General features: G+C 50.6%; 2 protein-coding genes and 1 non-coding gene across 44 annotated transcripts in view, besides 9 other annotated features; 2 read left to right on the forward strand and 1 right to left on the reverse strand.

The window, feature by feature from the left end:
- Window positions 1–622: an enhancer, noted in NCBI's record as "H3K27ac hESC enhancer chr11:207673-208294 (GRCh37/hg19 assembly coordinates)". NCBI's record gives its function as "activates a minimal SCP1, AML or CMV promoter by ChIP-STARR-seq in naive and primed H9 embryonic stem cells {active_cell/tissue: H9 hESC(naive and primed)}" and the evidence as "EXISTENCE:reporter gene assay evidence [ECO:0000049][PMID:30033119]".
- Window positions 1–647: a biological region, named in NCBI's record as "H3K27ac hESC enhancer GRCh37_chr11:207673-208294".
- On the forward strand, window positions 36–7,441 carry RIC8A (RIC8 guanine nucleotide exchange factor A). 5 transcript variants are annotated; one of them, NM_001386942.1, is made up of 10 exons: window positions 36–1,266; window positions 1,503–1,646; window positions 1,735–2,328; window positions 2,899–2,990; window positions 3,527–3,677; window positions 4,744–4,839; window positions 4,943–5,087; window positions 5,165–5,309; window positions 5,627–5,746; window positions 6,558–7,441. In NM_001386942.1, exons 3-10 carry the CDS (start codon window positions 1,933–1,935, stop codon window positions 6,676–6,678), a joined length of 1,266 nt encoding a protein of 421 aa, NP_001373871.1. In that variant the 5' UTR covers window positions 36–1,266; window positions 1,503–1,646; window positions 1,735–1,932; the 3' UTR covers window positions 6,679–7,441. The 5 variants fall into 5 exon arrangements, with proteins under 5 accessions (NP_001373871.1, XP_047283349.1, NP_001373870.1 ...); XM_047427393.1 differs by having other exon boundaries at window positions 1,587–1,646; window positions 4,925–5,087; NM_001386941.1 differs by having other exon boundaries at window positions 1,587–1,646.
- Window positions 478–647: an enhancer, noted in NCBI's record as "experimental_20222 CRE fragment used in MPRA reporter constructs". NCBI's record gives its function as "activates a minimal promoter by MPRAs in K562 erythroleukemia cells, with activity observed for the non-introgressed 11:208235 variant allele {active_cell/tissue: K562}" and the evidence as "EXISTENCE:reporter gene assay evidence [ECO:0000049][PMID:34662402]".
- Window positions 623–1,242: an enhancer, noted in NCBI's record as "H3K27ac hESC enhancer chr11:208295-208914 (GRCh37/hg19 assembly coordinates)". NCBI's record gives its function as "activates a minimal SCP1, AML or CMV promoter by ChIP-STARR-seq in primed H9 embryonic stem cells {active_cell/tissue: H9 hESC(primed)}" and the evidence as "EXISTENCE:reporter gene assay evidence [ECO:0000049][PMID:30033119]".
- Window positions 750–948: a silencer, noted in NCBI's record as "fragment chr11:208422-208620 (GRCh37/hg19 assembly coordinates)". NCBI's record gives its function as "represses an EF-1alpha promoter that drives an FKBP-Casp9 reporter gene in an ReSE screen in K562 erythroleukemia cells {active_cell/tissue: K562}" and the evidence as "EXISTENCE:reporter gene assay evidence [ECO:0000049][PMID:32094911]".
- Window positions 949–1,238: a silencer, noted in NCBI's record as "silent region_2987". NCBI's record gives its function as "represses an Ori minimal core promoter by ATAC-STARR-seq in GM12878 lymphoblastoid cells {active_cell/tissue: GM12878}" and the evidence as "EXISTENCE:reporter gene assay evidence [ECO:0000049][PMID:35858748]".
- Window positions 1,309–1,418: a silencer, noted in NCBI's record as "silent region_2988". NCBI's record gives its function as "represses an Ori minimal core promoter by ATAC-STARR-seq in GM12878 lymphoblastoid cells {active_cell/tissue: GM12878}" and the evidence as "EXISTENCE:reporter gene assay evidence [ECO:0000049][PMID:35858748]".
- Window positions 1,309–1,904: a biological region, named in NCBI's record as "H3K27ac-H3K4me1 hESC enhancer GRCh37_chr11:208989-209576".
- Window positions 1,317–1,904: an enhancer, noted in NCBI's record as "H3K27ac-H3K4me1 hESC enhancer chr11:208989-209576 (GRCh37/hg19 assembly coordinates)". NCBI's record gives its function as "activates a minimal SCP1, AML or CMV promoter by ChIP-STARR-seq in primed H9 embryonic stem cells {active_cell/tissue: H9 hESC(primed)}" and the evidence as "EXISTENCE:reporter gene assay evidence [ECO:0000049][PMID:30033119]".
- MIR6743 (microRNA 6743) lies at window positions 1,664–1,734 on the forward strand. The gene has a single exon (NR_106801.1). It is a non-coding gene; the product is annotated as a microRNA 6743 (primary transcript).
- Window positions 7,358–24,366, reverse strand: part of SIRT3 (sirtuin 3) — a 21,902-nt gene continuing 4,893 nt past the window's right edge. For 8 of the 38 annotated variants that reach the window (NM_001370322.1, NM_001370321.1, XM_017017431.2 and 5 more), the window contains 4 exons: window positions 22,780–22,880; window positions 16,406–16,567; window positions 11,106–11,369; window positions 7,358–9,046 (listed from right to left, as the gene is read on the reverse strand). In NM_001370322.1, coding sequence (NP_001357251.1) covers window positions 9,026–9,046; window positions 11,106–11,369; window positions 16,406–16,567; window positions 22,780–22,880 — 548 coding nt within the window. In that variant the 3' untranslated portion in view covers window positions 7,358–9,025. Of the gene's footprint in view, window positions 9,047–11,105; window positions 11,929–16,405; window positions 16,568–18,000; window positions 18,410–22,779; window positions 23,035–24,366 lie in introns of those variants that run through there. The other 30 variants (NM_001370320.1, NM_001370319.1, NM_001370318.1 and 27 more) reach the window with 15 other exon arrangements.

A 24,366-nucleotide genomic window follows, 5' to 3' on the forward strand; every position in this document is an offset into this window, starting at 1 on the left:
CCTGTGAACGTGGGGCGGGGCGGGGCCGTTTGCTTGCTCAGTGCCTAGACGATGGTGGTGGAAAGACGCTTCTGTGGGTTAGGTCCTAACGGTTAGGAAGGATTCACAGGCGGGTCATGAGGAAGGAGCAGACCCCTCGGGCAGAAGCCCGCGAGGAGCACTGGGTGTGGTGGGGGCAGGGGTGCCTCCTCTGTCAAGTGGAGATCGGCGCCTCGCTCGTGCCTGCGAGTGCGCGCCGCGTCGAATACAGCCGTACAGAACGCACTACAGGAAAGTGAAGCCGGGAGAGAGACTGGGAGGCGGCGCGGGGACTGGGGGCCGTAGACGCCTTTGCTCCCGGGCACTTGTTAGAAGAGCGAGTGGATCGCGCTTCCTGTGCGTCACTGAATCCTCATGACGGCCACTGAAACGGACACGCAGGATCTTTGCTTTTCAAGAGGGAACTGAGTCCAGGCCAGACTGGGTTGCTCCCCTTTCTCTCGGCCCCTCCACCTTTGCAAGTGCTGCTCCTTCTGCCTGGAGTGGCTCCTCCAGTCTTTTCCCGGCTCACTTCCCACCGTCCGGTGTCAGCAAAAACAGCACTTCCTCACAGCCCGTTGCAGCCCAGCAGTCGCCTTTTGCTTCTTTTGAAGCACAGCCCTGTGACCGCCTCGTGTCCTTTTGTTTTTCCTTGTCCCCCTTCCCCTCTGGAACATAAGCTCCACAAAGGCAGGGACCTGGGAATCCCGTTCGCCTGCATTCCCCAGCAAACGCCTAACGAACCCAATGGCCCAGGACTGAAAATTCCTTTCCACTTCGGCTTTCCCCTCTACATCCCATCGGTTCTGTGGAGCTCGAGGGGCGTCACTGTGTGTGTGGCAGGGCACGGTGGGGGCTGAGATCGTTTCCTGTTGGAACTTCTGGCCCAAGAAGCGCGGGTCACAAGGAGAGGGGTCAGTTCGGTTCAGAGCGACTCAGCCCCTCGACTCGGGTCTTAAAACCTCCGAGCCGCCAGTTCTGCCTCAGGCCGCGCCCCCTTAAAGCGCCACCAGACGCTGCGCCCCGTTAAAGCGCCACCAGACGCCGCGCCCCGTCCCGGCCTCCCCCGCGCGCTGGCGCGGGGCTTTCTGGGCCAGGGCGGGGCCGGCGAACTGCGGCCCGGAACGGCTGAGGAAGGGCCCGTCCCGCCTTCCCCGGCGCGCCATGGAGCCCCGGGCGGTTGCAGAAGCCGTGGAGACGGGTGAGGAGGATGTGATTATGGAAGCTCTGCGGTCATACAACCAGGAGGTAAGCGGCCGCCTGAGGCCGGGGGGCGGGCACGGAGGGGGTGGGGCAGGGTCGTGCGCGGGTAGCAGGGAGGGCGTGGGTGAGGCAGAGGCTGTGTCAGCAAGCGTAGGGGACGCGGCGGGGTGCGGGGGGCAGGTCTGGGATGCAGTGTTGCGGGGAGAGTGGGGGTGCACCCGTTGGGTGGCAGGCGTGTAGGGATGGGGGCGAGTGCCGACCCTGCCATCCGTTCTGAGCAGTGGCTGCTGCCTGAGTTAGAGGCCAATAGGCCGCCCGCATCAGCGGACGCGGATCCTACCCCTCTGTGGATTTGAATTCACTAGTTCTCTCTGCAGCACTCCCAGAGCTTCACGTTTGATGATGCCCAACAGGAGGACCGGAAGGTGGGTGCTGGCCCAAGGGGTAAAGGGGCAGGGACGGGTGGCCCCAGGAAGAAGGGCCTGGTGGAGCCGCTCTTCTCCCTGCCCACAGAGACTGGCGGAGCTGCTGGTCTCCGTCCTGGAACAGGGCTTGCCACCCTCCCACCGTGTCATCTGGCTGCAGAGTGTCCGAATCCTGTCCCGGGACCGCAACTGCCTGGACCCGTTCACCAGCCGCCAGAGCCTGCAGGCACTAGCCTGCTATGCTGACATCTCTGTCTCTGAGGGGTCCGTCCCAGAGTCCGCAGACATGGATGTTGTACTGGAGTCCCTCAAGTGCCTGTGCAACCTCGTGCTCAGCAGCCCTGTGGCACAGATGCTGGCAGCAGAGGCCCGCCTAGTGGTGAAGCTCACAGAGCGTGTGGGGCTGTACCGTGAGAGGAGCTTCCCCCACGATGTCCAGTTCTTTGACTTGCGGCTCCTCTTCCTGCTAACGGCACTCCGCACCGATGTGCGCCAGCAGCTGTTTCAGGAGCTGAAAGGAGTGCGCCTGCTAACTGACACACTGGAGCTGACGCTGGGGGTGACTCCTGAAGGGAACCCCCCACCCACGCTCCTTCCTTCCCAAGAGACTGAGCGGGCCATGGAGATCCTCAAAGTGCTCTTCAACATCACCCTGGACTCCATCAAGGGGGAGGTGGACGAGGTGAGCACTGACCTTAACCCATGGATGGGTCTCAACTCAGCTCCAACATTTCCTGGACCTGCTTCCTACTGGGTACCTTCAGGTTTCTGGGTGTCAGACATGGAGAGGACAGGACCTCCCAGCCTGTTGGGACAAGGCCAAGGAGATGCCAGTTCTGGGCTGGGACCTCAGGAAAGGCTTCTGAGGGAAGTAGAGGCCCCTTCTGGCTCTTGCTGCCTGGCAGGAGGGCTGTGTGGTGTCTGGGGAGACTGTAAGAGATCCTCCACCATGAGGCTGTGAGTGGGGCTGAGACAGAGTGTGACTTCATCCCTAAGGTATGTGTTAGCATTCCTAATCAGGGAAGTGCTCTTAGAAGAATACTCATGGAGTTTTTAGGAAGACAGCAGTGGTCATCTTTTGCCCCCAGCACTACCCAGAGTCACCTAGGAAGACCCCAGGGGACCAGGTATGCAGTACAGGAGGTGCACAGTCATTGCCACACAGTCCTGGAGTGCAACAGACAGTGGAGCCTCAGCAGGCAGCAGTGGGATGAGTGGGGCTCCTCACAGGAACCCTTCTTTCTTTGGTCAGGAAGACGCTGCCCTTTACCGACACCTGGGGACCCTTCTCCGGCACTGTGTGATGATCGCTACTGCTGGAGACCGCACAGAGGAGTTCCACGGGTGAGAATGGGGCTTTTTCTGGGAGGGAAGTGTGCCCACATGTCTAGATGGTCGTCCTCAACCCCGGCTCTGAACCAGAACCACCTGAGAGCCCAGGCCCCACCCTAGAGAGTCTGACGTTGTCTGGGTGAGTGAGACTGGACATAGCCATGAATTTGGGGGCAGGAATGTGCCAACTGGGCCTTGGGTAGTGGCAACAGTATGGTACTTACTAGGGCACATTGGTTCCTTGTCCCCGTTTTTGGTCTACCTGCCCCTAGGCTGGTCTGGGTTTCCAGAGATGGTCTGGCGCTTTGGCTCAGACAGGGTCGGGGAGGCAGTGTGTCTCAGTGCCCCCACTTCCCCAGGGGACCCCACTGTACAGCTGAGTGGCAGTGCCTCTCAGATCAGTCCCTGCCCTTGGCTTTGGTCCCTAGCGCTGCCCCTTTGGGACTCAGATGCCAGCTCATGTAATGTGTGGTTCAGCGGAGTCACAAAGATTGCACCTGTGCTCAGGGATTAGCCCTGTTGAAACCCCTACCTCCATCTGTCCCCAGCCACGCAGTGAACCTCCTGGGGAACTTGCCCCTCAAGTGTCTGGATGTTCTCCTCACCCTGGAGCCACATGGAGACTCCACGGAGTTCATGGGAGTGAATATGGATGTGATTCGTGCCCTCCTCATCTTCCTAGAGAAGCGTTTGCACAAGGTAGGCTGGGGATGGCTGTGCAGGCTCCCCCAGTGGCTCTGGCACTGGTTCTCCTGCACAGATGTGGTCAGTGCTTCCACACTGTCCACACTGGTACGTGGAGATTGTCTTGGTGGTGTGATATGGGCGACTCTTCCGGTTGTTCTGTGGTCCAGCCTGGCAAGAAGCCAGACCCTTCCTCCATGAGAAGCATGTGGACACCTTCCACACACTTGAAGGTTTCACTTCTTAAATCTTTGGGGATCTTTACTGAGTGGTCCAGAGAAGCCCCCCAGTCCCTACTTTTAAGTCTTAAACACAGGCAGCCCTTGATTACAAGCATAGTTGTCCCTCAGCATCCTGAGGAGACCCATAGGAACCTCAGATCAAAGCTTCCTTCTGATTGCTGTGACTGCACTACAGGGCATCTGGACAGCTGGGGCTCTAACCATCTTCCAGGAGCTTGCAGAAAGCAGGCTGGAGTACAATAAACCGAGATTTAGTAGACCTCCTGGGAATCTACCTGCCTAAGCAAGGGACACACAAGGTGCCTGCGAGCCAGTCAGGATAGGGAGCTGGCACTGGACACACAGCTAGGGGGTTGTCTGTGCCCGTCGCTGCCACTGCTGGTGCTGGGGTCCAGGCACATTATGCTAGGAGGGTCAAGAACTCCCTGCTCTGTCCACGAAGTACACAGAGCGGGGATTCGGTTCTCGTTTCTTTTTGCCACCAACATCTGAGGGCAATGTGTGTGCGAGTCTAAAGCTTTAATTGCTTTGTGTTTTCTTCCCAGCTCTGGTTTATAGTTGAAGTAATTAGACTTAAAGCAGTTATTTCTCCCAAGTCACAAAGCTTACGAGTACCTCTGAGTTACGCTCTATCCCTGTCCTTTTCAAAAGTGACACAGACACCCACCACCCACTCTTGGCCTTCTGCTGACTAACTGCAGAGGGGCCTCTTCCCAAACCTCTGCCGCCAGGACCAGCTGTTGTGTATGTTGGTGGGAAGGGGTGGTGGGGAGGTGTAACTCTGTGCCAGTCACAAGTTAGGCAGGGGCATAGCCCCAGTGACAGAGAATCCTCTACAGACACACAGGCTGAAGGAGAGTGTAGCTCCCGTGCTGAGCGTGCTGACTGAATGTGCCCGGATGCACCGCCCAGCCAGGAAGTTCCTGAAGGCCCAGGTATAAGGCTGAGGAGCTGGTGCTCCTGGGGGATGTGGTTTCGGCCCTGATCACAGACCCTTGGCTGCTCTAAGCCCAAGCTTAGGGATGGCCACCTCCCCAGGTGCTGCCCCCTCTGCGGGATGTGAGGACACGGCCTGAGGTTGGGGAGATGCTGCGGAACAAGCTTGTCCGCCTCATGACACACCTGGACACAGATGTGAAGAGGGTGGCTGCCGAGTTCTTGTTTGTCCTGTGCTCTGAGAGTGGTGAGTTATGGAGACCCAGGTCCCAGCCCACCCCACCTCAGCCAGGCTTGCACACTGACCTCTGCCTTGCCCCTCAGTGCCCCGATTCATCAAGTACACAGGCTATGGGAATGCTGCTGGCCTTCTGGCTGCCAGGGGCCTCATGGCAGGAGGCCGGCCCGAGGGCCAGTACTCAGAGGATGAGGACACAGACACAGATGAGTACAAGGAAGCCAAAGCCAGGTGTGTACCCCCAACACACCCTCGGGTCTCCACTCACAGCCCCATAGTCCCTGCTTCCACACCCATGTGGACCCCTGTAGGGTGGGACAGGATGACAAATGGGCAAGAGCTTCCAGAATCAAGCACCTGTTCCTAAGTGCTATCTGGGATACCAGAAGGTGGCAGATGGCAGGAGCTGGTTACCTGTGCCGCTTCTGGAGGGAGGCCTCTTCCTGCAGTTGCCTTGCCCACCTCACCCCACTGGGAAAATAGGTGGCTTGCCTCCTGTCCTGGAGAGTCACTAATGCATTCCCCACATTCCACCCACTGGGAAACAGCATAAACCCTGTGACCGGGAGGGTGGAGGAGAAGCCGCCTAACCCTATGGAGGGCATGACAGAGGAGCAGAAGGAGCACGAGGCCATGAAGCTGGTGACCATGTTTGACAAGCTCTCCAGGTGTGTGGCATGAGGAGGAGGGGCCTGCAGCTGGGAGAAGGGAGAGCTGACCCACATCCTGTCTTGTGAGCCCCAGGAGGTAGGATCAGAGGAGAGCTTAGGATCCTGGTATTAGGTTGCATTGCTCACGTTTGAAATCACTTGCCCTGGAGGAAATCCCCCAGGGGATGGGTATATTGAGATCAGTATTGTGCCCCTTTTACAGATGATAACTGAGGCCCAGAGAAATTAAGAGACTGTCTAAGGCCGGGCGTGGTAGCTCACGCCTATAATCCCAGCACTTTGGGAGACTGAGGCAGGTAGATCACAAGGTCAGGAGATCGAGACCATCCTGGCCAACATGGTGAAACCCCATCTCTGCTAAAATACAAAAAAAAAGTTAGCTGGGCGTGGTGGTGGGCGCCTGTAGTCCCAGCTGCTCGGGAGGTTGAGGCAGGGGAATCACTTGAACCCAGGAGGCAGAGCTTGCAGTGAGCTGACATTGTGCCACCGCACTCCAGCCTGGCAACAGAGTGAGACTTCGTCTCAAAAAAAAAAAAGAGACTAATGTCGCCAGATTTATTGGAGATGGCCCAGTGTCCAAATTAAGAGCCTGCTTAAGGCCAATTTAGATGTTTAAAATAGGAAACTGCTTAAAGCCAGGAGGCAGCAGTTAGGGTTTGGGCCCAGTTAACAGAAGGTCCAACCAGGCTTCCCCAGTAAATGGGAGCAGCCTACTTGGTAGAGAGGAAGGTAGCAGCCACGGGTGAGTAGGACCCCTGCCTGGCCAACTGGGCCCCTTCCCCAGCCCCACTGCACCTTTCCCCAACAGGAACAGAGTCATCCAGCCAATGGGGATGAGTCCCCGGGGTCATCTTACGTCCCTGCAGGATGCCATGTGCGAGACTATGGAGCAGCAGCTCTCCTCGGACCCTGACTCGGACCCTGACTGAGGATGGCAGCTCTTCTGCTCCCCCATCAGGACTGGTGCTGCTTCCAGAGACTTCCTTGGGGTTGCAACCTGGGGAAGCCACATCCCACTGGATCCACACCCGCCCCCACTTCTCCATCTTAGAAACCCCTTCTCTTGACTCCCGTTCTGTTCATGATTTGCCTCTGGTCCAGTTTCTCATCTCTGGACTGCAACGGTCTTCTTGTGCTAGAACTCAGGCTCAGCCTCGAATTCCACAGACGAAGTACTTTCTTTTGTCTGCGCCAAGAGGAATGTGTTCAGAAGCTGCTGCCTGAGGGCAGGGCCTACCTGGGCACACAGAAGAGCATATGGGAGGGCAGGGGTTTGGGTGTGGGTGCACACAAAGCAAGCACCATCTGGGATTGGCACACTGGCAGAGCCAGTGTGTTGGGGTATGTGCTGCACTTCCCAGGGAGAAAACCTGTCAGAACTTTCCATACGAGTATATCAGAACACACCCTTCCAAGGTATGTATGCTCTGTTGTTCCTGTCCTGTCTTCACTGAGCGCAGGGCTGGAGGCCTCTTAGACATTCTCCTTGGTCCTCGTTCAGCTGCCCACTGTAGTATCCACAGTGCCCGAGTTCTCGCTGGTTTTGGCAATTAAACCTCCTTCCTACTGGTTTAGACTACACTTACAACAAGGAAAATGCCCCTCGTGTGACCATAGATTGAGATTTATACCACATACCACACATAGCCACAGAAACATCATCTTGAAATAAAGAAGAGTTTTGGACAAAAATGTATGTGTAAATTATCAAATAAAGGGGCCAGGCACAGTGGCTCATGCCTGTAATCCCAGCACTTTGGGAGGCCGAGGTGGGTGGATCACTTGAAGCCAGGAGTTCGAGACCAGCCTGGCCAACATAGCAAAACCTTGTCTCTATTACAAATATGCCCATGTGCTAGGTGTGGTGGGACACACCTGTAATCCCAGCTACCCAGGAGAATCGCTTAAACCCGGGAGGCGGAAGTTGCAGTGAGCTGAGATCATAACACCGCACTCCACCCTGAGTGACAGGGCAAGACTCAAAAAATAAAAAAGGAACATTAACTAGGGTTAGAAACTAACTTCATTCTTTTTAGAATTCAACAGTTTTCCTAGGTCACCAATTCCACCTTTTGTTCTTATTAAGGCGCAAAGTCACAGGACCCCCTTCCTGGGAGTCACTGTCATTAAATCTATTGCCGTCAGCTCAGCCCAGGGTAGGCAAGGTTCAAGAATGGGAAGTGCTTTTGTCTGGGGAAACACGCAGGTAATGTGATGCTAGGAAGGAGGATGTGCAGGTGGGTGAGAGCCCAGGAGGGAGCAGCTGGTGCCTGACAGGGTGAGCCATCAGGGCTGGGCCTGGGTACAGCCCCAGGAGAAGGAGCCTGTGCAGAAGTAGCAGTTCAGTGGATTCCACCTCCTATGTCACAATCCAGCAGGTGGCCAGGACTCAGCCTGGGTTTTAAGTGAGTAATGCCTTCCCTGTCTCAGAGATTAGCTCTAACAGTGTCACTAGAGGAAGCCCTGGCGAGGGTGGGGGGGCGTAGTGTGGGGACAAGGAGGCCAGATAGAAAGTGCTGGAATGTTCTGGAACAGATCTGTTTCTGGAGGAGAGGCTGAGTATGGAGAGTCAACAGAATGTGACCACCTTCAGAGGGAGGAGCTGGGCCGTCTCCAATAAATCCAGGGACAAATGCCTTCAGTCCTCAGACTGTTCCAATAGAGGGGACGCCACGTATCCCAGGGTTCCCTTTCCAACTCATGTCAACACCTGCAGTCCCTTTGAGGAGACTAAATGTATTTCATGCTGGAAAGAACAGATTTTCTCTCATTAAAAATAGCCCCACTAAAGGAGACCAACATGCTAGAAGTGCGGCACCAGGGCCTCAAGACTACACTTCGGAACATGAAGAGGGCTGGGGACCGCTCGGCCCAAGTCTGGATCTTGTAACCAACAGATGCCGAGCTTGCCGTTCAACTAGGCACAGAAAGCAGACTCGGTCTGGGATTCCAGTTGGTCTGATTCAGTTCAAGAGGGTCACAGTCAGAAGAAAGCTTTTTCCATTAGGAGCTTCAGCAGAGTGAAGAGTTCAACACAGCAAACAGGCAGGCAGCTCCTTTGTATATGTGACGGGGTGGCCCTGACTGTAAACACAGCCCTACCAGTCACTGCAGCTCATGGCCTGAGAAGACATTCCAGTGGCAGCCTCGGGTGTCCACTCAGTTCACATATTCTGGTTTCACCTGCCCAAGCTGTCTTCAGGCATGAGGTCTTGTCAGAATTGGGATGTGGATGTCTCCTATGTTACCATTTATTGTGTGGGGGCAGCCATCATCCTATTTGTCTGGTCCATCAAGCTGGAATACAGAAGACAGAGGGTATCAGCTATCTGTTTACACACCCAGGCAGGCCAGCAGATCTCTGTTCAAACAGCTCTAGCTGCAGACATGCAAAATATTTCACAAAACAAGCTGCTTTCTGCAAATACTGCTGCTGCTGTGCTGGGCTAAGAGGATCCCAGCAGGCCTGGGCAGAACAGGGTGGCTAAATGGAGAGCCTCATTCTATGGGTCTTAAAGTACCCAAATCAATATGTACTGATGCTCATGTGCTTAAAAGCATTCACTATTTGGAAAAGTAACCCCTTGGATAGTAATGCTGTAAAAAACAGAAAATGAAATCATAACCCATTTTACATACATTTCTCTGAAACTAGATTATACAGTTCAAATCCTATTAAGCCACTTCCAAAACTCCACAGGAGCTACCAGAGTTACAATCTGCTTTTCTATGAAAACAGGAAGTTGGGCCGGGCCTGCTGGCTCATGCCTATAATCCCAGCACTTTGGGAGGCTGAGGCAGGTGGATCACCCGAGGTCAGGAGTTTGAGACCAGCCTGACTAACATGATGAAATCCCATCTCTAATAAAAGTACAGAAATTAGCCAGGCATGGTGGCACATGCCTGTAATCCCAGCTGCTCAGGAGGCTGAGGCAGGAGAATCACTTGAACCCAGGAGGCAGGGCTGCAGTGAGCCAAAATCGTGCCATTGCACTCCAGCTTGGGCAACAAGAGTGAAACTCCATTACAAAAAAAAGAAAATATGAAGTTGGAGCAGGAAAAGGATCCCTCAAAAAAGCCTGCTGGGCTGATCTAAGATCTCCGCTGCCTTGTGAGCTGGCCAGGAGGCACTCGCCTCTCAGCGTTTAAGCCTCATTGTTAGCTGGGTTCCCTGCCTCCATAATGAAGTGACCATGATTGGTAAAAAATCAGCCTGCAACCAGAGGTTGGAGGTCTTGGACTGGTGGAGGTGAGGAGAGTGCTGACCCCATGGCCCTGAGCCATGAGGCAGCCACAGCTGTGGACAAGGAAAAAGGATCAGGATTTCCTAAGACATCTGCCTTGGAAGGCAAGAGGAGCATCAACTGTGATATATTGTAGTTGATATGGTTTGGCTGTGTCCCCACCCAAATCTCACCTTGAATTGTAATCATCCCCATGTGTCAAGGGTGGGGCCAAGTGGAAGTAACTGAATCATGGGGGCGGGTCTTTCCCACACTCTTCTTCTGATAGTGAATAAGTCTCACAAGATCTGATAGTTTTATAAAGGGCAGTTCCCCCGCACACGTCCTCTTGCCTGCCACCTTGTAAGACAGTACTTTGCTCCTGCTTTGCCTTCCACTATGATTGTGAGGCCCCCACAGCCATATGGAACTGTGAGTCCATTAAACCTCTTTCCTTTATAAATTACCCAGTCTCAGGTATGCCTTTATGAGCAGCCAGAGAACAGACTAATACACTGGTGAAATCCCCTTTGGACAGTGTTACACCTGCCTGTAATCATGACACTGGACTTTAAATGCTTAATGCTACCACCTCCCATTGAAAACCCTTAATATCAAGGCTACACATGCTACATGATTCTTATGGGAAACTGCATTTTCTGTAACTTCACTTGTTTATAGGCGGTTTGAAATCTCTTAGAAAGCATCAAGGCTCTTTGGCTTTCCTCAGCGGATTATAATTGATCAATGGCTCTCATACCAATTACTTCCGAAAAGCATCACTCATGTAGCCTTCATCCCACATAGATGCAGAGAACTTTAGCTTCTCAAAGTTCTTTAACCCGTATCATCTTAGAATCACATACCAGGCCTTAGAGGGACACTGTTGGCTGCTTTATTTTAGGGAGTGAAGGTAACGCCTATAGTCTGTTAAGAATACAGACTCATCAGCCCTGAGTGTCTGGACCGTGTCCCTGCTTGGCCTGTTAGCATCTGTTTCCTCATCTCTAAATGGAGGTATTGAAAGTAACACCCAGTCAGGTCCAGGTAGTGCCTGGTGCAGGATTCACAGCATCATCAGCTATTACTGTTACTGTGTTAACCAACGGGGCTCCATATCAGGTGGACCATACCCTAGAGCAGTGAGAAGGGCAGCCCCTTGGATGGTCCTCCTCAGCAGTCTGTACCTTCCCAGTTTCCCGCTGCACAAGGTCCCGCATCTCTTCTGTCCAGCCCAGAAGCTCCACTAGGCTTTCCACGCCGTGAACCACGTCCCCCAGCTGGGCCACGTCCCTGCTGCGAGGATGCCAAGCCAAGGGCCCCACCAAGTCCCGGTTGATGAGCAGTCGGGGAACTGAGCTCCGCACGGCCTCGGTCAAGCTGGCAAAAGGCTCCACCTGAAAAATGGGCCAAACGTGAGGGGCACAGTGTCCACTTTACAAGCTCCTCAGGATGTTTCATGCCACAGCCACCGAGGCCTTGGAGGAGCAGCAGATTGGCAGTCAGAGCCTGCGATATAGGGAAAACCCACCACCAATCTCATTTCTTCAGCTGAGCTCCTGCCGCTTGGCCTCCGTGACGGTTTTCTCCCCTCCGCCTCTCTCTCTCTCTCCCACTTCTTGCTGTTTCCACACATCCTTGCTTTTCCCCACCTCCGTTCCAAGGCTCATCAGGGATCCAACCTTCCTGCCTCCTCTTTGTGAGCACGTTCTGTTCTCCCTGTCCTCCCCACCTCGCTGTCTCCCAGCATGACGCAGAGGGACAACAGCACAGACTCGTCCATCTCCTCTGGCTAGCCCTGCTTGCTCTGACAGCCACCACCAGCATCGGGCACCCAGACGAGCTGGTGCCCCCGAGCAGGAGTTACTGTTACGTCTCTCCATGGTCTTCCCCACCCAGCCTCTAGAGAGGCCTAGCTCGGTGCCATCAGGCTTCTTCATACAGCTCTCAAAGCTTCTTTTAAGAGGAACAAGGTAAAAAAATGGATACATTAATAAATGGCATTAAAACTGGCTCATTATCTGGGAGGAAAATACTCCATTCCTACCTCCCACTGAAAAAAATTCAAATGGATTAAAGGTTTCAATGTAAACAAAACAGTTCTTGAAGAAAACTAAGGATTTACAAGTAAGGATAGGGAAGAACGTTCTAGGCGTAAAAACTGAAGTCAGATAAGGCAAAGGAAAATGACAGATCTGACTATGTAAATACTATTATCTCGGTATCTACATAAAACTACTATGTAGAAAATTTAAAATTTTTAAAAACCTCTCATCATCATAAACTGCAAAAATATTTACAACATATGACAATAGTTTATATTGCTAATTGATAAACTCATTTATAAACATATAATTTATGAACTAATTTATAATGCTAATTTATAATGAAATTTATATTAACAGCTGGGCATGGTGGTTCACACCTATAATCCCAGCACTTTGGGAGGCCGAGGCGGGCAGATCAGCTGAGGTCAGGAGTTCAAGACCAGCCTGGCCAACATAGTGAAACCACGTCTCTACTAAAAATACAAAACTTAGCTGGGCGTGGTGGCACGCACCTATAATCCGAGCTACTCGGGAGGTTGAGGCAGGAGAATGGCTTGAGCCTGGGAGGTGGAGGTTGCAGTGAGCCGAGATCGCGCCACTGAACCTCCAGCCTGGGAGACAGAGCAAGACTCTGTCTCAAAAAAAAAAAAAAAAAAAAGAAAGAAGTTTATATTAACATTAAAATGTAATTATATTATTTAATTTATACTAAAATTAAAACTAATTTATATTGCTAATTTATAATGACCCAATGAAAAATGGTCAAGAGGTACAAATATACAATCCAAAGAGAAGAAACACAACTGGCAATAAACATGAAAAGATGAACTTCATTCTTTACTACAGAAAGGCAAAATCCGCACCCCCCTCCACACACACACATGCATTTTTTAACCAATTTGATTTGTGTGATTTTGGTTTTGGTGAGGATGTGATAAAATGGCTACATAAAAACACAGTTTGTGGCAGTGTAATTGTTACATCTTTCTGGAAGGCAAGTTCTCAATATTTATCAGCATTTACCCTTCAGGAGTTCTTGCATGGGTAGATAAGGATGATACACAGGGATATTCACCACAGCATTTACCCTTCAGGAGTACTTGCATGGGTAGATAAGGATGACACACAGGGATATTCACCGGAAGGCAAGTTCTCAGTATTTATCAGCATTTACCCTTCCAGAGTACTTGCATGGGTAGATAAGGATGATACACAGGGATATTCACTACAGCATTTACCCTTCAGGAGTACTTGCATGGGTAGATAAGGATGACACACAGGGATATTCACCGGAAGGCAAGTTCTCAGTATTTATCAGCATTTACCCTTCCAGAGTACTTGCATGGGTAGATAAGGATGATACACAGGGATATTCACTACAGCATTTACCCTTCAGGAGTACTTGCATGAGTAGATAAGGATGATACACAGGGATATTCACTACAGCACGGGATCTCATTCTGTTACCCAGGCTGGAATGCAGTGGCATGATCATAGTTCACTATAACCTCAAATTCCTGGGCTCAAGCAATCCTCCTTCCTCAGCCTCTCAAATAGCTGCAACTACACAGACCATGCCTGGCTATCTTTTTATTTTTTGTAGAGACGAGGTCTGACTATACTGCCCAGGCTGGTCTCAAATGCCTAGCTTCAGGCAATCTTCCTGCCTTGGCCTCCCAGAGTGCTGGGATAACAGGTGTGAGCCACGGTGCCTGGCCCAGCATTACTTTTAATGTAAAAATTATATACTATTTATTATCATTGTCCATCAGTAAGAAATTGCTTACATAAATTTTGTATTAAATCCACAAAATCTATGTTAAAGCTCTTGTGGCTGAATATGTTTCAGAATTTTTGAGATTTTAGAAAAGATCATATGGTTTACATCCCACGTTATGTCACACCTAAAGGGGATCTGGAGTGGTACTCCACAGTCAAACACATTAACATTTCGTCCACAAAGCACATGAGATAGAGTCTGTGCGTGACACCAGCTCATTCAGTTCATGATGGCACCAGCCTTACAGACATGGGTTTCTCAGTTGGGACCTCATATCCGTGTAAGGGAAACTGTTGGCATTAACAACGCAGCACATCTCCATGGACTCACATTGTTACGTGAAAACAGCAGGCTGCAGAATAGAATGTACAGTGCTGTCCAACTTTTAGTTTAAAATTACCATCTGTACGTATGCATTTGTACAAAAAAAAGAAAGCTGAGAGGACACAGAATAAAATGCTAACAGTTGGTGGGATTAAAAAGTTGATCCTTTGCTTTATATCTTTATATAATGTACGAATCTTTTCAAAGACACACATGATACACTTATAATCAGGAAAAAGGCCATTTTCATTTCACTTCAACAATAAAGATGGCTGGTGGCCCAAGTGTCCACACCTGGTGGCCAGCACGGTCAGCTGGTCTCAGCCCACACTGTGCTGACCACCATGGCCCCTCTGACTGCTCCTCCTGTGTCTGTCCCTCCATCCTAGGCCTAGCATGGCATTCTCATGTCTGTCCACACCCTGGGCTCTCCTGTCTGCTCACTCCAGCACCCCAGCTCCTGCCTCTGGGCCTTCCTGGACTCCAGACTCATGTCCACCTGCTCAACACCTCCAGTCCGCAGCACATCCTCAAATCCGTGGAAACAAGGCTGAGTTCCTGAGCTCCCCCAAACCCACCTACCAGGCTTCTCCATCTCAGGAAGCGGCGGCTCCGTCTTTCCAGCTGCTCCAGCCACAGCCCTGGGGTCCTTGGGAATCCACGGCCTCCCATGCACTGTGCCAGCGTACCCACTCTGCGTTCACACACACCCAGACTCCAGCACCCCTCAGCCTCTGCTGGCTTTACCTGGCCCCCAGCCAGTGCCAGCCGGTGATTACCTACAAGGGCCCTGCTGGGTCTGCTGCTCCCAGTCTTGCCCCCATGGTGGGCTCACAGCCCAGCACCCAACGGAGTCCTCTCAACTTCAGACTCTGGCCTGGAACCCAAGCTGAACCCATTCACCTTCTGAGGTGGCGCCAGCCTCCCATGAGATGACACTTGTGCCCCACCTTCTTCTCTGCTCCAGCCCCGTGGCCATCAATGCTGACTTCGCCCCACCCTCCTTGCTGCTTGTCACCTGTGCAGTGTCCCCTGCCAGACCCTCCTCACCTCGGTAAACTCTTAGATCCAACTCCACCTGCCTGACTTGACACTGCAGCTGGTTCCCAACCCTTCTAGCCTTTCTATCCTACTTGTTATCTTTCTCATAACATCAATCATCTCCTAACAAACTATATAACTTCTTACACTGACATCTGACCGTGTATGTCCAAAGCACTGGAGCAGGGCCCAGCACACAATGAATGCCTGAACAAACACATGCTCTGGGCCCCTGTGGCTGCCCTGGGCCCCTCTGAGCACAGGTCTTTCTGGCCCTTCTGTCCTCGGTGCCTACATCCAGTCACGCACACACTGACTTCATGGTCTCATTTCTTGCTCTCATCACAGCTTTTAGGAATTTCCTGAGCTGCAGACGCAGACGCAGAACAGCTGCTTGAACACATCCAGGGCATGTTTCCCGACACCTCAGACACACACAGAACCGAGCTGGGCATCCTCCCTCCCAAATCACGCCTCACCAGCAAGTGCCCTGACCTTACAGACCAAGCCAGACGCCTCCTTCTCACGTCCCCAAAACATCACAGACTGCGAGTCCAGTCCCCCTCCTCGCCATCCCTCAGGCGACCACAGCTCCACCTTCTCCAGGACCAGCCTCCTGGCACTGCTTGCTCCACTCTCCACTCCCCAAAGGCCTCCCTGACCCCAAGGGTGCAGCTACGTCCCCGGGCCAGTCCCTGTGGATTTATCACTCCTCCCACTGCAGCATCAGTATTCCTGATCTGACCTGGGAGGCCCTGCCCCTCCACCTCGCCCCCACACCCCCATCCTTCTCCCTTCTCCTCACACGTGGTGCCCCACCCACACCTATACCACCTCCAAAGCCCAGCAGCTTCCCACCTTCCTGTCTCCTGCACAGGCTGCTGCTCCCTCAGCCTGGAACCCCAGCTGAATCCATTCACCTTCCCAAAGTGGCACCAGCCCTGGAAGGGCCCATGAGATGACTCCTGTACCCCTCCCTTCCCCTGCCCTCCAGCCTCCTCCCTGCACAGGCCTGCCGACAGCCCATGAGATGACTCCTGTACCCCTCCCTTCCCCTGCCCTCCAGCCTCCTCCCTGCACAGGCCTGCCGACAGCCCATGAGGTGACTCCTGTACCCCTCCCTTCCCCTGCCCTCCAGACTCCTCCCTGCACAGGCCTGCCGACAGCCCATGAGATGACTCCTGTACCCCTCCCTTCCCCTGCCCTCCAGCCTCCTCCCTGCACAGGCCTGCTGACAAACCTCCAGGGAGGTCCCAAGGATGAGCAGCAGATCTGCCATGGGGAAATCAACCACATGCAGCAAGAACCTCTGGGGCAGCGGCTCCCCAAAGAACACAATGTCGGGCTTCACAACGCCGGTGCAGACCGGGCAGCGGGGAACCCTGTCTGCCATCACGTCAGCCTGGAAAACAGAGAAAACAGGCCTGAGGAAGATGCCTGCAACACCCTGTAAAAGGAAAAGGCAACAAGTTCTTATTAAAGTCTCAAACATTCTCCCCCAAAAAAGGTGAGAGAGGGATCATGAACCCCCATGTACCCAGCTTCAGGAATTACCAGTTTTCATAGCTAATTGTTTCACAGCCCTCCGGAATCTGGGAGGAGGTATTGGAGCCTTTAAAAGCAAATCTTGGACATCATATGTTTCACCCATAATTACTTCGGCAGGCATCTAGCGTATCTAACACCATGCTCTATCCCTGGGATGGCAGCCAGAGACATCCAGGCGCTAAGGAAACACCTGGTAGACCACACCAGTCCTCAAACAGTAGTCTGCAGGCATTTGGCCTACACCGAACACTATTCAGTCAGAAAGGTGAAACTGTCTCTGGTTTGAGCTTCGGTGATCATGCCATTGCCTCAGCCCTGGGAGGCATTCAGGTCAGCTTCACTCACTGGCTGGCATTATTAGGAGTAACAACATCTGCCAAACACTGCTTCCTTACTGGCCAAGGTGAAGTGGACACAACTTCCCTTTGCGTCAAGATTAATATAAATAAATGCCTTGGAGCAGATGGAAAAGGGAGAGAGTTACAGAGGAAGACACCTGACTTTCTAAGGTAAACCTTTACAGCTAACGGGGCTTGTTTTAAGCAGGCTCAGCCCAGCAAAAAGCAACAGATACAAAAGACAAAAGAAAGAGACCCACGAAAGATTTCAGATATTCTTGGATACACAGTAAAACTGTATTATATTTAAATTAAAAAGAAAAAACTGTTATCTTGGAGGCATGGGGTATAGCAAAAAAAAAAATTAAGGAAGCAAAAAAAAAAGATGAACTTGAAATATCTATCAAAGGCCAGGCGCAGTGGCTCAGCTCTGTAATCCCAGGACTTCGGGAGGCCGAGGTGGGCAGATCACGAGGTCAGGAGATCGAGACTGTCTTGGCCAACATGGTGAAACCCTGTCTCTACTAAAACACAAAAAATTAGCCAGGCGTGGTGATGCGTGCCTGTAATCCCAGCTACTTGGGAGGCTGAGGCAGGGGAATCACTTGAACCTGGGAGGCGGAGGTTGCTGTGAGCTGAGATTGCACCACTGCACTCCAGCCTGGGCAACAAAGCGAGACTCTGTCTCAAAAAACAAAACAAAACAAAACAAAACAAAAAACTATCTATTAAAGATATAAAATTATTAAAAAATTATGTAATAATGTAGCAGACTTGAAAAATAACCAAATAGAACTTCTAGAAATAAAAAGTACAGGAACCAAAATTAAAACTCAATGTCTGTTTTGAGTTGCTGTTTGGGAAAAAAGAAAGAAAGAAACACTCAATGGAAGGACCTTATAACAGAATACAATATTAGTAAACTGGAAAAAAGACCAGAAGAAATTACCCAGAATGCAGCACAAGAAGCAGCAATTACAGGACAGAAGAGTGATCAGGAACAGCAGGAGAGAGAAGGTCTAATGTATGTTCAATCAGAGGTCCCTAAAGAGAGGGGCCAGATAGTGGGCTAGGGGCAACTCATATCCGAAGAGATAACGGCAGAGTATGATCCAGCAACCATGAAAGACGCCAACCCGCAGATTCAGGATCTCAAGCAAGTGAGGGCTACTGAGCCAGCCTGAGGGTGCCCACAGGAAAAACATGAGTCACGGCACATCTGTGCTTGTTTCTGTCCCAAGAGGTTCTCAGGAGGTTTAGTAATTACATGTGGTCCTTCAAAGAGGGAGGGTGGCTGTGAGGTGAGTGGTTACGTACTTGTGAGACTTCAGTAAGTGCCCAGTAAATGTACATTTTACCTAAGATAGAAGGAAACAGAGGAAGAGAACTAAGCAGACCTCTCAGGGAAGGGTGAAGGAACCATTAATCTCATCTTGTCTTTAATCTGTATCTGGGAAGATAAACCAGTAATCCACATTAGCAGTGTAGAGTCTTTGAAAAGGGCTGGTTTCTGTTTAGCCCTTAGTGAAGAAGCCTAATGGTGGCTGGGGAGGGAGGGGTACAGTGAGGCGCGTCTGACCTCCTCTCCTGCTACGGCCAGGAACTCAAGCTTCCAAGGTTTCTCTGGGGTTCCCTTGACCAAGGGGAGGGCTCCATTCAGTTGGTTGCAGGGCTTAGAATTTTATTTTATATTTTATTTTTTTGAGATGGCATCTCGCTCTGTCACCCAGGCTGGAGTGCAGTGGCATGATCTCGGTTCACTACAACTTCTGCCTCCTGGGTTCCAGCAATTCTCCTGCCTCAGCCTCCCGAGTAGCTGGGATTACAGATGGGTGCCACCACAAATGGCTCATCTTTGTATTTTTAGTAGAGACGGGGTTTCACCATGTTGGCCAGGCTGGTCTCAAACTCCTAACTCAGGTGATCCACCCGCCTCAGCTTCCCAAAGTACTGGGATTACAGGCAGGAGCCACCGCGCCCAGCCTAGAATTTTATTTTATTTTTCTTAAGGAAGGCCTACAATTATTATTATTATTTTTTTTTTTTTGAGATGGAGTTTCGCTCTTGTTTCCCAGGCTGGAGTGCAATGGCCTAATCTCAGCTCACCGCAACCTCCGCCTCCCTGGTTCAAGCAATTCGCCTGCCTCAGCCTCCCGAGTATCTGAGATTATAGGCATGCACCATCACGCCCGGCTAATTTTGTATTTTTAGTAGATATGGGGTTTCTCCATGTTGGTCAGGCTGGTCTCAAACTCCTGACCTCAGGCGATCCACCCACCCGGCCTCCCAAAGTACTGGGATTACGGGCGTGAGCCACCATGACCAACTGGCCTACAAATTTTAAGCAGAAGAAATAAAAGAAAATTCATATGGAAAACCACAGTGGAGAAACCGCAAAACTCCAAAGACAAAAGTCTTAAAAAACAGGCAGAGAGGCCAGACACGGTGGCTCATGCCTGTCATCCCAGCACTTTGGGAGGCCGAGGCGGGTGGATCATGAGGTCAGGAGTTCGACACCAGCCTCACCAACATAGTGAAACCCCATCTCTACTAAAAATACAAAAATTAGCTGGGCATGGTGGCGCATGCCTGCAATCCCAGCTACTCAGGAGGATGAGGCAAGAGAATCGCTTGAACCTGAGAGGGGGAGGTTGCAATGAGCTGAGATCATACCACTGCACTCCAGCCTGGGCAACAGAGCAAGACTCTATCTCAAAAAAACAAAAAATCCAAACAACAACAACAAAAATAAAACAGGCAGAGAACAGATAGCAACAGTTTCAGAAATTTATATGAAAAGCCAAAAGATTCAGACCAGCCAACACAGTACTGAAGGAGAAGAACAAAGGTGGGGAATTAACATCAACCTGTTGCCCAAATTATCTATTTTATTCTCTTATTTATTTATTTATTTTGTTTTGAGATGGAGTCTCACTCTGTCACCCAGGCTGGAGTGCAGTGGTGCGATCTCAGCTCACAGCAACCTCCCCTCCCAGGTTCAAGCAATTCTTCTGCCTCAGCCTCCTGAGTAGCTGGGATTACAGGTGCACCACCACACCTGGCTAATTTTTGTATTTTTAGTAGAGATGGGATTTCACCATTTTGGCAGGCTGCTCTCAAGCTTCCCACCTCAGGTGACCCGCCTGTCTAGGCCTCCCAAAGTGCTGGAATTACAGGCGTGAGCCACTGTGCCCAGTCCCAAATAATCTCTTTTAAATGCAAATCCCTTCACATCATTTTCCTGCCTAAAAATCCTCCAATGCCTCCCATGATCGTCAGGATACAGTTCAAACCCTAACAGAGCAAGCAGGCCTCCCACACTCCAGGTCTCTGCTGCCAGAAACAGACTCTTACATCCAGACGGCCTCATCTCAAAGGTGCTTCCCAGCCTACTCTGTTCCTACAGCTGAGTCAGTGTAGTGTCCAGTACATATTTATAGTAAAATTCGTATGGCACCCAGTTGTAACTGTTGGATGACTCCACCTTATTTTAATTTCTATTCACATCCACAGAACCCAGCAAAGGGCCTGGCACTGAGGAGACTAAACTATTTGTTGAATAAATTGGTCATTCAATGAATGAGTTGACCAAAACAATAATACGTATATATCAAGTTTCTACTATGTGCTGGACTCACACTTCCTAATTTCAAAACTTACTACAAAGCTACAGTAACCAAAACATTATAGTGCAGGCACAAGGATATACAGATAACAATGGAATAGAATTGAGACTCTAGAAATAACCCATACACCTATGGCCAACTGATTTTCAACAACAATGCCAAGACCACAGTTTTTTTAAACAAATGGTGCTGGAACAATTACATATCCACATAAAAGAAAATGAAGCTGGATCCCTACCTTACAGCGCACACAAAAATTAACTCAAAATGGATCAAAGAACTAAATGTAAAAGCTTTAAACTATAAAACTCTTATAAGAAAACAGGAGTAAAACAATACCATTTCTCAGATATGATTCCAAAAGAGTGAGAAAATAAATAGACAAACTAGATTTCATCAAAATCAAAACTTCTATGCATCAAAAGACATCAACAAAGTAAAAAAGACAACCTACAGAATGACAGAAAATATTTGCAAATCATGTCTCTGATAAGGATCTAGCTTCCAGAATATATAAAGGACTCTCTTAACAATAAAAAAGACAACACAATTAAACAATGCGCAAAGGACTTCAATCTCCAAAGATATACAAATGGCCAAAAAGCACATGGAAAGATGTTTGATATCATGAATCATTAGGAAAATGCCAATCAGTGCTACAGTGGGTTACCACCTCCCACCCACTGGGATAGCTGTAATTAAAAAATGGAAAGTAAGTGTTGGGATGTGGAAAAGATGAAACCCTTGCCCACTGTTGGTGGAATGTAAAATGGTCCAGCTTCTGCAGATAACAGTATATTCGTTCCTCAAAAAGTTAAAACGGGCCGGGCGCAGTGGCTCTCGCCTGTAATCCCACACTTTGGGAGAAAGAGGCAGGCGGATCACGAGGTCAAGAGATCGAGACATCCTGGCCAACATGGTGAAACTACTCTACTAAATACAAAAATTAGCCGGGCGTGGTGGTGTGTGCCTGTAGTCCCAGCTACTCAGGAAGCTGAGGCAGGAGAATCGCTTGAACCCAGGAGGCGGATGGTACAGTGAGCCGAGATTGCGCCACTGCACTCCAGCCTGGTGATAAGAGCTAGACTCCGTCTCAAAACAAACAAACAAAAAAGTTAAACATGGGCAGGGCATGGTGGCTCACGCCTGTAATCTTAGCACTTTGGGAGGCCGAGGCGGGTGAACCACCTGAGGTCAGGAATGCAAGAGCAGCCTGGCCAACATGGTGAAACCCCATCTCTACTAGAAATACAAAAAACATTAGCTGGGCATGGTGGCAGGCACCTGTAATCCCAGCTTCTCAGGAGGCTGAGGCAGGAGAATCGCTTGAACCCGGGAGGCAGAGGTTGTATTGAGCCGAAATCGCGCCATTGCACTCCAGCCTGGGTGACAGTGTAAGACTGTGTCTCAAAAAATAAATAAATAAATATAGCTAAACGTGGAGTTACCCAGCAATACTTGTAGGTATCATACTCAAAAGAATAAAAAACAAGGACTCTCAAACGAATACTTGCATATGCTCCACAGCAGAACTATACACAAGAGCAGAAAGGTGGGACAACCCAAACACCCATCCATGTACAAACAAACCAACTGTGGTGCATACATCAGTGGAACATTTAGCCATGAAACAGGATGAAATACTAACACAAGCTACAAGGCGAAGGAGCGAGAAACATTTTCAGGAAATAAGCTCGGCACAAAAGGCCATCTGATTGCCGGGCGTGGTGGCTCACGCCTGTAATCCCAGCTACTTAGGAGGCTGAGGCAGAAGAATTCCTTGAATCCGGGAGACGGAGGTTGCAGTGAGCCGAGATCGCCCACTGCACTCCAGCCTGGGCGACAGAGTGAGACTCAATCTCAAAAAAAAAAAAAAAAAGTGGGCAGCTGGAATTGGCTGAAGGGAGATTCATTTTCCCTACATATTTCTATATTGTCTTAAATTTTTTTACAAGCATGTATTGATTTTCTAATTTACAAATAAAATGTTTCACACTATTATTGTTCAACTGTCCTTTCGAGACAATGCTTATAAAATACCACTTTTCCAGATCACCCCAACAGCAAACTGCAGAAGGACAACCAACAGCAGGATAACTCACCCGAATGTCCTCCCCTGGGAAGGGTCTTTGGCAGACTGTGCAGGTGGCAGAGGCAAAGGTTCCATGAGCTTCAACCAGCTTTGAGGCAGGGATGCCCGACACTGAAATTCAAGCCAAAGCGAAGTGTTGCTGCCGCCTCCGAGATGAGCACGCAAGGCCAAGAGCACAACTTCTGGGCTTGGCAGGACTCCTGGAAGGAGGCACAGCCCCTTGGGGTTGTGATGTCCTCAAGCCTGGTTTTCATGCCCGTATCACCTACATGCGCCATCAACCAGAATAAGGCAGGGGAGCAAAGGGGCACCTAGCTGGAGCCAAATCACGGTTAAAACAAAGCCTGTCAAAACTCAGTACGAAAAACCATTTGATAAAAGCTCAAATAAAATTATATCCAGCCGGGCACAGTGGCCCACACCTGTAATCCCAGCACTTTGGGAGGCCGAGGTGGGCAGATCATTTGAGGCTAGGAGTTCAAGACCGGCCTGGCCATCATGGTGAAACCGTACCTCTACTAAAAATACAAAAATTAGCCAGATGTGGTGGCAGGCACCTGTAGTGCCAGCTACTCGGGGAGGCTGAGACAGGAGAATCGCTTGAACCCGGGAGGTGGAAGTTGCAGTGAGCTGAGGTCGTGCCACCGCACTCCAGTTTGGGTAAGAGAGCGAGATTCTGTCTCAAAAAAAAAAAAAAAAATTACACCTAATACCAGGCTGGGTGCAGTGGCTCATGCCTGTAATCCCAGTGCTTTGGAAGGCCAAGGCAGGAGGATCACTTGAGGCCAGGAGTTTGAGACCAGCCTCAGCAACATAGTGAGACTTGTCTTAAAAAATTTTTTTAATTAGCCAGGCATGGTAGTGCATGCCCGTAGTCCCAGCTATTCCAGAGGCTGAGGCAAAAGGATCACTTCGGCCCAAGAGTTCAGGCTATAGTGAGCTATGATCATGCCACTGCACTCTAGCCTGGGCAACAGAGCCAAGACCCTGTCTCAAAAATTTATATCTAATATCCAGGAACATATCTTCTATTCTACAGATACCAAGTTAAAATGAGGATATAAATATCATAAATTCCAAAAGAATTGCTTGGTAGAAACAGACAAAAAGTGACTTCTTATGAAAGTTGTGTTAGTATTAACTGGTTCTGAAAGGCTGCGGTGGCACAGCCAGGGTCCCAGCTGCAGGAGGCTTCCCAAGTCCCTGTCGCTGCCCTAACTCAGCAGTGCTGAATCTCACAGCCAGGAGCTCCCACCTTCCCACAAGGCCTGCCCTGCTGCACCTCTGGGAGAAGAGCCCACCAACATGGGGCATCCGCTGCTGCCTCTGTGGTTCCAAGTCAGGGGATCCTTCTGGCAAGGAAACACATTCCTGGAGCCAAGGTGCCACCTCTTTTTAACTGACAACACATCAGCAGTCTCTCCGGGAGCCTGGCTCCCGGAGAGCTGACTGTCCCAGCACCTGTCTGCATCACTGCACGTAAGGAAAAGGCCCCACCAAGTGCTTCCGTTAGGTGCACGGCCAGAAGTTGGCACAACCTGTGAATCGCTGGTTTGGGCACCATATGGATACGGTCAAGAAATCACCACAGACTAAG

Source organism: Homo sapiens, chromosome 11 (genome assembly GCF_000001405.40).
Source record: "Homo sapiens chromosome 11, GRCh38.p14 Primary Assembly".
In the NCBI taxonomy this organism is placed as follows: domain Eukaryota; kingdom Metazoa; phylum Chordata; class Mammalia; order Primates; family Hominidae; genus Homo; species Homo sapiens.

Coding starts and splice junctions, on each gene's coding strand:
- RIC8A (XM_047427393.1), top strand. CDS start 1,183: ATGGAGCCCCGGGCGGTTGCAGAAGCCGTGGAGACGGGTGAGGAGGAT. Junction 4,840..4,924: donor GGAAGTTCCTGAAGGCCCAG/GTATAAGGCTGA, acceptor GCCCAAGCTTAG/GGATGGCCACCTCCCCAGGT. Junction 5,088..5,164: donor TGTCCTGTGCTCTGAGAGTG/GTGAGTTATGGA, acceptor CTTGCCCCTCAG/TGCCCCGATTCATCAAGTAC.